We start from the raw sequence: 15,501 nt of genomic DNA, 5'->3' as shown, positions 1-15,501 counted from the left end.
GCCAAGGCAGGTGGGTCACCTGAGGTCAGGAGTTCGAGACCAGCCTGGCCAACATGGTGAGATCCCATCTCTACTAAAAATACAAAAATTAGCTGGGTGTGGTGGTGGATGCCTGTAATCCCAGCTACTTGGGAGGCTGAGGCAAGAGGATCTGGGAGGCGAGCCAAGATTGTGCCATTGCACTCCAGCCTGGGCGACAAGAGCAAAACTCTTTCTCAAAAAAAAAAAAAAAAAAAAAAGGTGGCGACACATTGACTCATGCCTGTAATCGCAGCACTTCAGGAGGCCAAGGTGGGAGGACAGCTTGAGGCTAGAAGTTCAAGACCAGCTTGGGCAACACAGCAAGATCCTGTGTCAAAAACAAACAAACAAAAAAGCCAGGCATGGTGGTGTGTGCTTGTTGTCCTAGCTACTGGGGAGGCTGAGGCAGAAGGACTGCTTGAGCCCAGAAGTTTGAGGCTGCAGTGAGCTATGATGAAGCCACTGTCCTCCAGCCTGGGTGATAGAGCAAGACCTTGTCTCTAAAACAAAAAAAGAAAAAATAAAGTGGAGACATTTAAGATAATTACTCCATCAGTAATAGTGGCAAATAGGGGCTCAAATTTAGTTCGCTGTCCTGCCTGTATTCTTTTTCCTCCTTCTGGTCAGAGAAGACAGGCTAAAAAAAAAATGCAATAGCTAAAATTAAAGAAAAAGTACTAAATAGATGAGGGTATGAAGAATGGCAAAAGGAAAGATACCAAGAACACTTACTGTTTTCTTTGTTCAAAATAACACATCAAATATCCAAGAAGCCAGTATTTCCAGCTCTCAGACAGCTCCTCAGGTCTACAGAGGATAAACTAAGCTACTCACTGTTTCTGTCATGCACCAGGGTCAGGCTGCAATGTCTTTCCCTTATATGACTATTATCTCAGTATCCTTCCTTTCTCCCATCTCAGCTCATCCAAATTCTACCAGTATGTTCAAGATTCAGTCAAATGCTATACATTTCAAGCATACGTTCCAGTTCCCTTTCAGGTGAAAACAATCTTTTCTTTTCCTGGACTCAGAAAATACTTAACCTGTGCCTTTCTTATGGCACTTGATACTTCTGTAGCTGGTTCTCAACACAGGCTATATATTATATTAAAGCACTGCAAGTGATTAAAAAAACAAAAATAAACCCCAGCCCTACCTCAGACCAATTACACCATAATCTCTGGGAGTGGAACCCTGTAGTGTTTTTAAAAAGTCTGCCAGGTCATTAAAATGGACAGCCCAGAGGTGAGAGCCCCTACCTTAGCTATGCCTTACTGATACTACTCGAGTTATCTTTATATCTGTAAATGGAGTGACATACATGTATAATTAAATTTTTAGGTCCAGAATTTTTTAAAAATTAGATTTTTGTATCCTCTGTGAACATAGTAAATGTGAACTAATAGTTTATCCAAGAATCAAATATTCCCATTCCCTAGGTAGTATTTTCAGTTTAGCTTAAAACATGGGATTTAGCTATATCTACAATTATGTAAAATCTGTAGATGCTCCCATTTAGAGACAGAATATTTTTAAAAAAGAACATGGTGAGTGTTTTGGTTTTTGGCTATAAACAATGCACACAGCTTACCTCTCTAACATCCACCATCCACCCTCCATCAACAAACAACAAGACGTTATACATTTTCTCCTTCACATCAGCAGTTAGGGCATCCAAATGCCCTTTCCAAATACCAAAATCCATCTGCAAAACAAACACAAGGCAGACATATAATGGATAAAACCCAATAAATAATGTATTTGGAAAATACAGACAGGAACATACATATAGAACATCATTCTAAAGAGTTGATGTTTCAGTCTGCCAAGTACAAAAATAAGTATCAACAGACTGCAGTTAAGTAAAACGCTAAAATGTTAACTTTGTAAATGAACGCTCATGTCACCTGAAGGCATTTTTCATGTTTGGTTAATTACCTACAGAAAAGTAACTAAACAGATTGCATCTTCCAAAGCAGGACATTAACAGGGAGATTACCTGTTATGATCGAAAGATAGTTGCTGAAGAAACGATCTCTTTAAATATACAACACACATTTATAAGATGCAGTAGGCACATCCTAGATCCATATTTAACTTACTTCATATTTCTTTTCTTTGTGTTCATGAGCCACTTTCTCAGTAAAAGTTGGTTGAGGTATCAAAGCAGGTTTTTGTGGAACTGAATTCATATGCTTAAACCACTCATTAAAGGTTTCATGGGCTTCCTAAAATGTGAAATAAAAAAACCAAAATATAAAATAACAAAAGTTTTCACTTTTATCGTTTCACCAACATTTTTAACATTTGATTCTTAGAAATAATTTTGCAGCATCAAGAAATAAAACTGTTCAATATATATTTTTTTCCCTCCAAAAATTCATATCATGAATAAATGTTTTGTCAAGTGACAAACAAGGTATATATATTGTGTTTTCTGGCATATTCTCCAATCTGAGCACCCTGATCGTATATGTATCTTGACATTCATCGCTCTGTAACATATGCATGTGTACTTGTCTTCTTAACTAGCCTATTAGTTTTTAGAGGGCAAGGATAGGGTGCTATCCACAGATTTGGCCCTACTACCTAACCCACTGTAATTACATAATTATTTATTGAATAAAATTTTTTTTTTGTTTTTGAGACAGGACCTTGCTCTGTCACCCAGACTGGAGTACATGATCTAATAAAGACAAGGCATGATCTCTGCTCACTGCAGCCTCAACTCCCTGGGCTCATGCGATCCTCCCACCTCAGCCTCTGAAGAAGCTGGGACTACAAGTACATGCTACCATGCCTGGCTAATTTTGTTTTATTTTTTTGTAGAGATGCAGGGGTCTCACTGTGTTGCTCAGGCCAGTCTTGAACTCCCAGGCTCAAGCAATGCTTCTGCCTTGGCATCCCGAAGTGTTGGGATTATAGGCGTGAGTCACCGCATCTAGCCTTGAATGAATTTTGAATGAGTATGCTGCTATTTTAGTCATAACAAACCTAGAGCATCTTGCTTTTTCTCAGTTATTGAAAAAAGCAGAAATTTAAAGCTGAGACATGCATCACAAAATCTTAAGAAAACATAACTTCCAGACATCATAGACACTATCTACCATGTGAGATGATCTTGGTTGGTTAGCATTGATTAGAGAATCATGCTAATGAAGATAAGGTCATGAAGTCAGTCCCCTTGTGGATGAGTCAGCACTATAGTCACAAGAGAGGTAAGATGAACCAACACTACTTCTAGAAAAAAGTTCAAACTCTGAGAGTGAATCCGAAAAATCATCATGAAGTAGGCACATCTGTGGCTTTCTTTACAGTCTCACCAAATAAGCTCTGATGCACAAATGTTCTCGGATAGCATTATCATCTTCAGCAGGAAGTGGACTTTCCATTCCTTGTTCCTCGCACTGATTATAGATTTCTGCTATAGAATCCTGAGGAATTTTCACAAATACTTCTTTTGCAGCTTCGTGCTTTTTTGATGCTGTGAAAAAAGATACACAATTTTGAATGCCTACGGACTTCTCTGTAATGGTTTCTAAAGGAGTCAAATCACTGGTTTACCAATTTTACAGTGACCTGTAACTATTTCAGGGCCCAAGGCACTCTGTTAAAGGTCTTGGTGATCTTTCTACCTGATAGACTGGCTTTTTCGTATCTCAATGTGATACTATCACAAAAGGATACATCAAATGCAGTTACTTTTACATACTTTTATGTCTTAAAGCAATTCATTTTTCAAAGTCGGATAGCCTTGAGATTATTTGCAAAATTGATTAGGACAATGAAAATTCACCATTAAAATATATTTTGTTTCATAATACCAGGTTTGATAGATAAAGAGTGGCTGGTTTTCTCCTCCCTATGGAAGGATCAAAAACAAAAAGCAACCCCCCACCCCAAATTCAAAAATACACGAATTTGAACAAAAACGTTTTAAAAAAGAATAAAAAATCTGGGTGTGGTGGTTCACGCCTATAATCCCAGCACTTCAGGAGGCTGAGGTGGGAGGATTGCTTCAGGCCAGGAGTTCGAGACCCGCCTAGGCAACATAGTGAGACCCCATCTCTAGAAAAAATTTTTTAAAAATTAGGTGGGTGTGGTGGTGGGTGCCTGTAGTCCCAGCTACTTGGGAGGCTGAGGTAGGAAGAAGAATGGAGCCCAGGAGTTTGAAGCTGCATAAAAATATACTATACCCAAGAATTTTCTCATAATTGCATTGCCTTGTTTCAGTGCTTCTGCCCTCTGCGCTGGGTCAAATACCAACCAGTCAATTACATCAATTTTTAAACGATCCTCCTATTTATTAAAGGGGAAAAAAAGAAAAAGGAATATCAGAGTTTTTTTTTTAAAGATATTCTACAAATTAGTAGAATTAACTTACACCTGTACTTCCAGTAAACATCATTTTCTCTCAAGTTATACAAAATTATGAAAGCATCTAACTTTCCTTAGTGTATTTTCATATTTAACAGCTCTCTATTAAATTATAGAAAATACTGCTGGGCATGCTGGCTCACACCCGTAATCCCAGCACTTTGGGAAGCCCAGGCGAGCGGATCTCTTGAGCTCATGAGTTCGAGACCAGCCTGGACAACATGGCAAAACCCCTTCTCTACAAAGAATACAAAAAATTAGCCAGGCATGGTGGCACATGCCTGTAATCCCAGCTACTCGGGAGACTGAGGGAGGGTGGCTTGAGCCTAGAAGGCGAAGGTTGCAGTAAGCAGAGATAGCGCCACTGCACTCCAGCCTTGGTAACAGAGCTAGACCTTGTTGTCTCAAGAAAATAAAAATAAAAATAAATTATAGAAAATATTAATCTGGAATTATATATTGTATGCCTTACCAACTTAACCACGTGATTCCTTTAAATGTTACTCTAAAATAGTTTTCTTAGATATAACTTTCTATTCCTTTCTGAAAATATGAGTAAGCAAGCTACATAAGTTAGTGATTAATCAAGTATTTAAAATAACCTGATGAGCAACAAGCCAAAGCTGAGATTTTTTTCTATTAAAGAAGCTCCTTTAACATACTACTATAAGTAATCCTTTACATAAGACTTTAAATTTAAAAGGTCTGGGCTGACAAAGACACATTCTTAAAAAAGAAAACCTAATAGAACTTCTTTTACGAAGGGAGAAGTTCACCAAGGAATAACATAAAAGATTATTAGAAGTTATAGAAACCTCTGCCCCCCCATCCCAAATTACCTCAGTAGTGCCAGTATCTAGGGCTGGGGCCAGGTCATGATGACTAAATTCACCATTATCTTTCTTTCGAATATTCTCAACTACAGTTTTTGTTATTGTTGCAACATCCAAATCTAAATAATTTTTTGAAGCGACAAAAAACAAAGATTAATCATTGATACTAATATTCTCTAAATAGTCATAATGATTCAGTAAATTTGGAACAGTAATTCCTTAAAAATAAAATATGTAAAATATGAAAGATATTTATATAAAAGAAAATGCCAGAATTAAAAGATATTTTACATATGAGTTACAGCATAAGTAACTTTAGTCCTAAAACAGAAATTCCCTGAAAATTTTATTCCTCTTTTCCCCTCAACAGAAATAAGATTTAAAACTATAAGGACAAATGTTACTACAGCCAAAATGAACATTTGCCTAGAAAGGCCAAAAGACAAAGTTTTCAACCATTTTTACCTGCTTCTTTAGCCAACTCCAGGCAATGGTGGCGCTGTTCAAATTCTGTAACACTTTCCAAAAATAATGCATACTGGGCAACAGCTAGGTCTTGAGGCAAATGACAGGTATAAAATGCTATAAGATTTGTATGTTTCTCTCTTATTAAAAGCTAAAAAATAGAAAAAGATCAAAGTATGTCAATAATAAAATTAAAAGTATACTTCAAAATTTCAAATGTATTCAGGAGAGGTTCATACAGATGTGGATTTGTGTTGCTAAACAGAATAATTTTATTTTATATTTATTTGTTTGAGACAGGGTCTCACTCTGTCACCCAGGTTAGGGTACAGTGGCATGATCATGGCTCACTGCAACCTGTCTCCTGGGCTCAGGTGATCCTCCCACCTCAACCTCCCGGGTAGGTGGGACTACAGGCACATGCCACTATGCCCTGCTAATTTTTTGTATTTTTTTTTAGTAGAGATGGCTTTTCACTATGCTGCCCAGGCTGGTCTCAAACTCCTGGGCTCAAGTGATCTGCCCACCTTGGCCTCCTAAAGTGCTGGGATTACAGGCATGGGCCCCTGTGTCCAGCCCAGAATAATTTTAAATTCCAAAAAGTGAGTACAGTTGGCTCTTAAACTGCACAGGTTTGAACCGTGGATTTTTTTCGATAAATATATTGGAAAATTGGCTGGGTATGGTGGCTTGCGCCTGTAATTCCAGTACTTTGGGAGGCTGAGGCAGAAGTATCACTTGAGACCAGGCCTGGTAGCTCTTGCCTATAATCCCAGCACTCTGGGAGGCTGAGGCAGGCGGATCACCTAAGGCCAGGAGTTCAAGACCAGCCTGGCCAACAAGACAAAACCCTGTCTCTACTAAAAATACAAAAATTAGCCAGGCGTGGTGGCGCATGCCTGTAATCTCAGCTACTTGGGAGGCTGAGGCAGGAGAATCACTTGAACTTGGGAGGTGGGTTGCAGTGAGCTGAGATCATTCCACCACACTCCACATTCCGGCCTGGGTGACAGTGAGACTCTCTCAAAAAAAAAAAAAAAAAAAAAGGTAGTATCACCCCTGAGGGCAGGAGTTTGAGATTAGCCTGGCCAACATAGTGAGACCCAGTCTCTACAAAAAAATAAAAAATAAGTTTGCTGGCCATGGTGGCACGTGTCTATAGTACCAGCTACTTGGGAGGTTGAGGGGAGAAGACTGTTTGAGCCCAGGAGTCTGAGGTTACAATGGGCTATGATCTAGCCAGTGAACTCTAGCCTGAGTGACAGAACAACATCCTATCTCTAAATAAATAAATACATTAATTTAAATATATATATATTAGAACATTTTTTGGAGATTTGTGACAATTTGAAAAATATTCATGCTTGAACCCAAGAGGCAGAGGGTACAGTACAGTGAGCTGAGATTGCGCCATTGCACTCCAGCCTGGGCGAGAGAGTGAGACTCCGTCTCAAAAAAAAAAAAAAGACTCACAAACAAATTAATAGCCTAGAAATACTGAGTAAATTAAGAAAAAGCTAGGTAGGCCAGTGGCTCACACCTGTAATCCTAGCACTTTGGAAGGCCGAGGCTGCTGGATCACCTGAGGTCAGGAATTTGAGACCAGCCTGGCCAACGTGGTGAAACCCCGTCTCTACTAAAAATACAAAATTAGCCAGGCGTGGTGGTGCACACCTGTAATACCAGCTACTTGGGAGGCTGAGGCCAGAGAATCGCTTGACCCCGGTGAGGCAGAGGCTGCAGTGGCAGTGAGCCAAGATCATGCCACTACACTCCAGCCCGGGCATCAAAGTGAGACTCCATCTCAAAAAAAAAAATAAAAAATAAAAAAAAAGGTATGTCATAAATCCATTATATGTAGATTCTGGTCTATTTTATCACTTACTACTATAAAATATATATGAATCTATTATAAAAAGTTAAAATTTATCAAAACGTACACACATTTACAGACCATACATTGTGGTCTAGAGAAATGTAAACAAGCATACAGATGCAGTATTAAATCATAACTGCATACAACTAACTGTAGTAGATACTATACTACTGTAATAACTTTAGAGCCACTTCCTGCCACTACTGGGGTGAGCTCAAGTGCTGTGAGTATCCATTTAAAATGCCGTGTGATGCTAATCATCTCTGAAGAGCTGTTGGTCTCTTCAGTTGCATACTGCAATAAAAAGTAAGCTTTCCCAGGTCTTGTTTTTTTTAGTGCAATACTATAAACCCTTAATAACACCACAGGAGCCATACAAAGTGCCAGTAGTGATACTGGAAGTTCTCCCAAGAAGCAGAGAAAAGTCATGAGATTACAAGAAAAAGGTGAATTGCTTGATATACTGTAGATTGAGGTCTGTAACTGTGGTTGTCCATTTCAAATAGACAATTCATCTTGTAAACAGACAACATAAACTTACAGTATTAACAGGTACAGTATAGTACTATAAACGTAGTTTCTCTTCCTTATGATTTTTATTATTTATTCTTTTTTTAACTTTTAAAAGTTATTTATTAATTTTTAAACTTAAAAAAAAAAAAAAAGACAGGTCCAGGCCGGGTGTCGTGGTTCACGCCTGTAATCCCAGCTCTTTGGGAGACTGAGGGGGGTGGATCATGAGGTCAGGCGTTAAAGATCAGCCTGGCCAACATAGCAAAACCCCATCTCTACTAAAAATACAGACAATTAGCCAGCACCTTTAATCCCAGCTACTCGGGAGGCTGAGGCAGGAGAACCGCTTGAACCTGGGAGGCGGAGGCTGCAGTAAGCCGAGATGGTGCCACTGCACTCCAGCCCGGGTGACAGCGCAAGACTCCGTCTCAAAAAAAAAAAAAAAAAAAAGACAGGTTTTCGCTGTTTCCCAGGCTAGTCTTGAACTCCTGGGCTCAAGCGATCCACCCACCTCTGTTTCCCAAAGTGCTGGGATTACAGGCGCAAGCCACCACGTCTGGCCTGATTGTTTTTTTTTTTTTTTTTTGAGATGGTCTCACTCTGTCACCCAGCTGGAGGGCAGTGGCGAGATCACAGCTCACTGCAACCTCCAACTCCTGGGCTCACTCGATCTTCCTGCCTCAGCCTCCCGAGTAGCTGGGTTTACAGATATGAACCACTGTGCCCTGCTAATTTAAAAAAATTTTTTGTAGTAGAGAGAAGGGTCTCCCTATGTTGCCCAGGCTGATCTCAAACGTCTGGACTCAAGCAGTCCTCTCGCCTCTGCCTCCCAAAGTGTTGGGATTACCGGTATGAGCCACCTCGCCGAGCCCCTTATGATTTTCTTAGTAATGTTTTCTTTTCTCTAACTTACATTATCATAAGAATACAGTACAGTTGAGCTTTGAACAACACGGGATTGAACTGTGCAGGTCCACTTCTGCATAAATTTTTTTCAACTCAACTTAGAAAATACAGTGTTATCTGGATGTGAAATCTGCAAATATGGAAGGCCAATTTTTCGTATATGCAGGTTCTGCAGGGCCAACTGTGGGACATGAGTATACACAGATTTTGTTATATGTGGGGGTCCTGGAGCCAATCCCCCAAGTATACTGAGGGATGACTGCATATGATACATGTAATATACAAAATGTGTTAATTGTGTGTTTATGTTATTGGTATGATTTCTGGTCAGCAGTAGGGTATCAGTAGTTAGGTTTTTGGGGAGTCAAAAGTTATAGTGAATTTTTGATTGTGCGGGGCGGTGGGGGTTGTTTTCCTAATCCCTGCATTATTCAAAGGTCAACTGTGCTGATAATTAAAAGATCTCTTATGGATTCTGATGCTTTCTTACCACTGAGAATTAAAATAGCATCATTCTGAGTTTTGTTTTCATTAAAATAGTAAAAAACAATCAGGTTGTAGGTTCTCAAAGTTTACCTGTATGTATGTCTTTAAAACTTCAATAGAAACTTCCTCCTTCATAGGAAAAAAAGACATAATTATAAATACACTGCTTATATGAAAGTAACAAAATTTTTGATACAAATTCCATTATTAAATAATTTAATAATTGTAATGTTTACCACTGAGCAGTAACTATACACCAAGCTAAGTGCTTACCAAAGTTCATCTACTGCCTGATTTAACCTTACCATAACTCTTTTTGGGTAGTTACTATTATTGTTCACATTTTACAGAGGATGAAATTAGGACCAAGGGAAGTTTTATTTACCCAGAGTTACACAGATAGAAGCTGCTGAATAAGGGTATATACTCAGGACTCCTACTCCAAAGCCCAAGCTTTCAACTACTGTATCATTCACTTTCTACATGCACTCTGACCAAAATGTTATCTTCTTTTTTAGAAAAAAAGCAACAAAACAACAACCAACAAAGTTTTAAAATCTCACATAGCACTCACTTTGTTTAGTTAGCTTAGCTGGTTGATTTAAAGCTGGGTACAGACAAGGATAAAGTTATGAATTTATTAAAAACCAGTTAACCAACAGCATTCTGTGGCCACAGACTAGAACCCTAAAGGGCCACTCTCAGTGAGTTATCATTGAGTGACTATACAAGACTATATGGAAGACTTTTGATTCCTTATCACCATTTCTAGAAAACAATAATAAAAAAAGTAGTGTTTTCTTGACAATAGGTATATAGCATCAACATTACAGAGAAGAAGAAATCGTTCATTTTTATATACCTTGGTCTGTAGTCCCAGAGTACGGAAAAACAAAATAAGGTGAGTCATAAAGCGAAGCAGGTGTCCAGGTAGATTGTTTCTGCTTTTGGAAAGCCATTTGCTAAACTCATCCATCAAACCTACAAGCCATCAAAGTGAAGATTCAACAATAGGAATAAAATCAAAAGAAAAAAATAAACATTACCAAGAACATTTATTTCACTCCTATAGTGCTTTCAAGTCACTGTCTCATAATTAATAGCCATGATATAACTCTACACCCTCTTTGAAACAGAGTTTGGGTTCAATCCGAACTTTATTTTATAAAAACCAAATGAAAGGTCACCTCTGACATAAAGTAAATAGTTGCATTCAAATAGGTTAATATTTATCAAGATTAAAAGATATGGTAAGTCACATGCATTGTTTGGATAACTTTAAAAAATCACTATAAGACAATGAAGAACTCATAAAGAGTAAAATAAAACTGGCTGGGTGCAGTCGCTCATGCCTGCAATCCCATGTCTATAACATATAGCACTTTGGGAGGCCAGGGAGGGAAGATCACCTGACGTCAGGAGTTGGAGACCAGCCTGGCCAACAGCGAAACCCCGTCTCTACTAAAAATACAAAAATTAGCCAGGCGTAGTGGTGCACACCTGTAATCCCAGCTACTCAGGAGGCTGAGACTGAAGGATCTTGTGAACCCAGGAGACAGAGGTTGCAGTGAGCTGAGACTGAGCCACTGCACTCCAGTCTGGGCAACAGGGTGAGACTTTGTCTCAAAAAAAAAAAAAAAAACACACACAAAAAACACAAAGTAAAATAAAACCATATCTTACCATCAATGTCTCCCAGGATAAGAAACTTTTGAACTATATGATAATGTTCTTGATTCTCTTCCAGAACTCTCTGAAAAAAAAGTTTTTAATTTTCCATAAATCTTCTAGCAGTCATTCTGTAGTATATATTCACTGTTAAACTAAAAATGTTAAACTTTTGAAGGAACATATAGAAAGAAAAAGCTGGAAATGAAGGGCCTTAGAAAGATCAAAACAAAATAAAACATGGAAAGGATACTGCCTTTGGAATATACTCACAGCTTACAAATCCAGAACTGAAAAGCATCTTTGAAAGTAGAGACCTATGTTATAACAATTTAATCTCTCAATGGTATTAAACTTTTATTCTTATATTTTATTCCTATTTACCTTGGCACTACACATGGTGGACGAGAAAGGAAGAACTCATGTGACCTAAGCAAAATAAACTATTAAGATTTCTTTCAACATGAGCAGCAGTACATGAAAGCATTCTTTGAGTATTCTCTTCTGTACATGGCACCAAGGGTGAAAAAAAAAAATAGTGATCAGGTACAGAGTAGAGAAAACCTTTTCTAACTTATTTGCAGCTTGATTTTTTGAAGAATATAGTTCATTTTTTGTTGTCAAACGTATTTTAATTTTTATTTAGTTGGCTGTCTAAATTTTCTTTCAGCATTTATTAATTTTTACATTCAAACCTTTGCTCTATATGGAATTTATTTTAGTTACATGGCATGAAGTAGGATCTAGCTTTGTTTTCTTCTGGATGGAAAGCCAATTATGCCAGCGCCATTTATTTAAATAAACCATCCCTTTCCCTCTGAAATGAAATGTCACCTCTGACATCTGTTAAGTTCTCATATATACTTGGATCTAGTTTGGACTTTGTGTTCCACTCATCTATTTATTTTCATGTCAGTTCTATACTGTTTTGTTGTATCTTCATATTAAGTGTTATTATTGAGTAAGGCAAGTACCCTCTAACTACTTTTTTTGCTTTCAGTGTGGTTTTTTTTGTTTGTTTGTTTGTTTTTGAGACAGAGTCTCACTCTGTTGCCCAGGCTGGAGTGCAGTGGTACAATCACGGCTCACTGCAGCCTCCACCTCCCTGGGCTCAGGTGATCCTCCCACCTCAGCCTCCTGAGAAGCTGGGACTACAGGAGCATGCCACCACACCCGGCTAATTTTTAAAATTTTTTTTGTAGAGATGGGGTTTTGCCATGTTGTCCATGCCGGTCTCAAACTCCTGAGCTCAAGTGATCCTCCTGCTTCAGCCTCCAAAACTGCTGGGACTAGAGGTGTGAGCCACCAAACCCAGATTGTTCTTTTTCAAAATGCTCTTGCCATTCTCAATTATTCTTCTACTTGACAAAATTTTCTGTCCAGAAGTAATACCCCAAAGCATTAGGTTTTTATGCTAATTTTGGAATGAGTGACATTTATATTAAATGCCCTCATCGAGGAACATGATATATCTATTTATTTATGTCTTATTTTATGTCCTTCAGTAAGATTCTATAGTTTTTTAAATGAAGGGCTTGAAACCCTGGATTAATTTTTTATTCCTAGATCTCTTTAGTTTTGGTCACTCGTTTAAATGGAACTTTTGGGGAGGGGGTACTAAATCCTTTTCTAAATAGTTATAACAAGCACAGAAAGACTTGACTTTTAAAAAAAAAACGTTGTCTTGTATCTGGCTACTTTAACAAATTCTCTTATTAATTCTAGTAACTTACTGAGCTTTAAGTTTCTAGACTAATATTTTTATCATATATAAATGTTCTTCCCTTTCTAGTATTTATATCTGTTCCTTAATTTTCTTGTTTTATTTCATTAGCTAGAATATCCAAAATAATAGACTGGTAATAAACTCTTGACAGAAAAAGCATTAATTTCCTTACTATATCAAGTGCTCCTATATAATAATAAGAAAAATATAAAACACCACAGAAAAATAGCTAAAAGATATGAACAAAAAATTCACAAATGGTCAATAAACATAAGGAAACATGCTCAGCCTTATGAATAGACAAGAAAATGTGAGTAGAACAGCAAGTTCCTATTTCCCACCTACTCTGATGGATTGGCAAAACATAAAAAGTGTGACATTTGAGGCTGGTGAGAATGTATAATTCAATAAATTACTTGTGGAAGTATGAATTAACTGCCACAACCAGGTAATAAATTATTTTTCCATTTCAATTTTTTCTTTTTTTTTGAGACAGAGTTTCGCTCTTGTTGCTCAGGCTAGAGTGCAACGTTGCGATCTTGGCTCACTGCAACCTCTACCTCCTGGGTTCAAGTGATTCTCCTGCCTCAGCCTCCCAAGTAGCTGGGATTACAGGCATGCAGCATCCATTTCAAAATGTTTCTTTACCTACCTACCTACCTATTTAATTTTTCTTTTTTCTTTGAGACAGGGCCTTGCTCTGTTGCCCAGGCTGGGGTGCAGTAGTGCAATGACAGCTCACTGAAGCCACGACCTCCTGGGCTCCAGTGCAGTAGTACAATCACAGCTCACTGAAGCCACGATCCTCCCACTTCAGCCTCTGGAGGAGCTGGGACTACAAGTGGGTACACCACCATACCCAGCTAATTTTTTTTTTTAGAGACGAAGTTTTGCTATGCTGCCCAGGCTGGTCTAAACTCCTGGCCTCAAGTGATCCTCCCATCTTGGCCTCCCAAGTGCTGGGATTACAGATGTGAGCCACCATACCTGGCCTTTTTATTTATTTTTATTGTATATATTTTTAAGGTATACAACCTGATGTCTTCAGAGAATTCATTCAGAAACACTGTATGTATGTATATACAATGTATAAAGCATATACTTATTTATACTCCTTAACCTGGTAACCCTGCTTTCAGGAAACTTATCCCAAAGAAACAGAAGGACTAGTAGTTAAGTACACACACATGTAACTTCATTACAGCACTAGAAATAACCTAAATACTACCCAAAGGGGAATGATTAAAATAAATCATACATTATTCTAAAGAACACTATGTATTTATTAAAAAGAATAAGGTTAAGTGAAAATGAATAAACTAACTTGGAGATTATCATTAAATGAAAAAAATCAAGCTGTAGAGTAATATATGTAGTAAAATGTGAAAAACACAAAAATCAAAATTCTAAATTGGAGTATCTACATTATTTACACATATTCGTAAGATCATGGAGAGAAATATAGAAGGATACATATCAGTATGTTTTATCATCTCAGGGGAATAACCATAAAGGGGTAGAAATTACTATAAAGGTTTTATTTATACATTCTAAAATTATTTTATTGTTACAAGTACATACAATATTACTACAGTTGTTTAAGCATTTTTAAAAGAATATAATTTTTAGAAAATATTAGATTTTAAGATCTAGGAAAATAAAGTCTTAATAATTTTCCATAATGTGTTTTAAATTTTAAAAAAGGAATAAATATAGCTTACGTGCATATACTTAGATGAAATTAATCCGAAACAAAAAACTAAAAATGATGTATCATTTATGTAATTAAGTTTCTTCGTTTCAAAGAATGATTCTTATTTTAATAGGTGAGAAAAAGGGAGAAAGTTCCACCTTTTTCCTTTCAGCTACAGTGCACAATAGAATAACACTGTTTCCTATTCCAGATACCTAACATATTCCTATTAACATTTACCTTTTTGTCAGTAGCTTGAAGTTCCTCAAAAACCTTTTCTAACGTCCAGCTTCAAAAGAAACAACGGGAAAAGAATAATGTTAATAATATGAAAAAGGGGTGTAAAACGAAACATCAAAGAGCATGCTACAAATCACCATGACTCAAAACAATCCAACAAACTCACTTTGCTCCCAGATATTCTCTAGGGAGTTCTTCAGTTTCATCCAGAGTTGCTACTGATGTCTGGATCTCCTGTTCTACCAGACTGTCCACCATCACCCGGAAGTAGGCCCAAACTGTGTCTTCCCAGGTGTCACAGACAGGAAGCAGCTTTTTCCCCATTACAAAACAGAAACATATAGACATATTCAACAGAAAAGAAAGGAAAAGCAATTACATCCAATGATACAGACTATAAAATCACTTTATAATGATATAAAACACGGCAGATTTTAAAAAAATTATGCCAAATAACCTTTCCTCCGCCAACTACATCTTCTAAGATGTTTGAACTGTTCAGATTTTTTCATACTGTTAACAACAACATCAGTTTTCCAGGCTGATATGACATTTCAACTGATTAGTATAGTATCCCTAAAGATAGCTATAATATGTAGGGAGTAGTGGGTTGTGAGAAAACATGCGTATGTAAGACAACCCAAGGACTCACTGTGTCTTTCCGGTACATTTCTGCATACAGCTATGAGTATTTTAA

General features: G+C 37.5%; 1 protein-coding gene across 4 annotated transcripts in view; it reads right to left on the bottom strand.

Moving 5' to 3' along the window:
* Positions 1–15,501, bottom strand: part of NUP107 (nucleoporin 107) — a 58,832-nt gene that overhangs the window by 8,853 nt on the left and 34,478 nt on the right. For all 4 annotated transcript variants that reach the window (NM_001330192.2, NM_020401.4, XM_005269037.5 and 1 more), the window contains 11 exons: positions 14,971–15,116; positions 14,805–14,853; positions 11,161–11,230; positions 10,340–10,458; positions 9,568–9,606; positions 5,697–5,847; positions 5,238–5,350; positions 4,218–4,320; positions 3,345–3,505; positions 2,124–2,249; positions 1,613–1,726 (listed from right to left, as the gene is read on the bottom strand). In NM_001330192.2, the coding sequence (NP_001317121.1) occupies positions 1,613–1,726; positions 2,124–2,249; positions 3,345–3,505; positions 4,218–4,320; positions 5,238–5,350; positions 5,697–5,847; positions 9,568–9,606; positions 10,340–10,458; positions 11,161–11,230; positions 14,805–14,853; positions 14,971–15,116 (1,191 nt within the window). The remainder of the gene's footprint in view (positions 1–1,612; positions 1,727–2,123; positions 2,250–3,344; positions 3,506–4,217; positions 4,321–5,237; positions 5,351–5,696; positions 5,848–9,567; positions 9,607–10,339; positions 10,459–11,160; positions 11,231–14,804; positions 14,854–14,970; positions 15,117–15,501) is intronic.

The sequence above is a fragment of the Homo sapiens genome, chromosome 12 (genome assembly GCF_000001405.40).
Source record: "Homo sapiens chromosome 12, GRCh38.p14 Primary Assembly".
Taxonomy (NCBI): domain Eukaryota; kingdom Metazoa; phylum Chordata; class Mammalia; order Primates; family Hominidae; genus Homo; species Homo sapiens.
The sequence above is the reverse complement of the archived record's forward strand: the minus strand, read 5'-3'. Positions and strand labels throughout refer to the sequence as shown.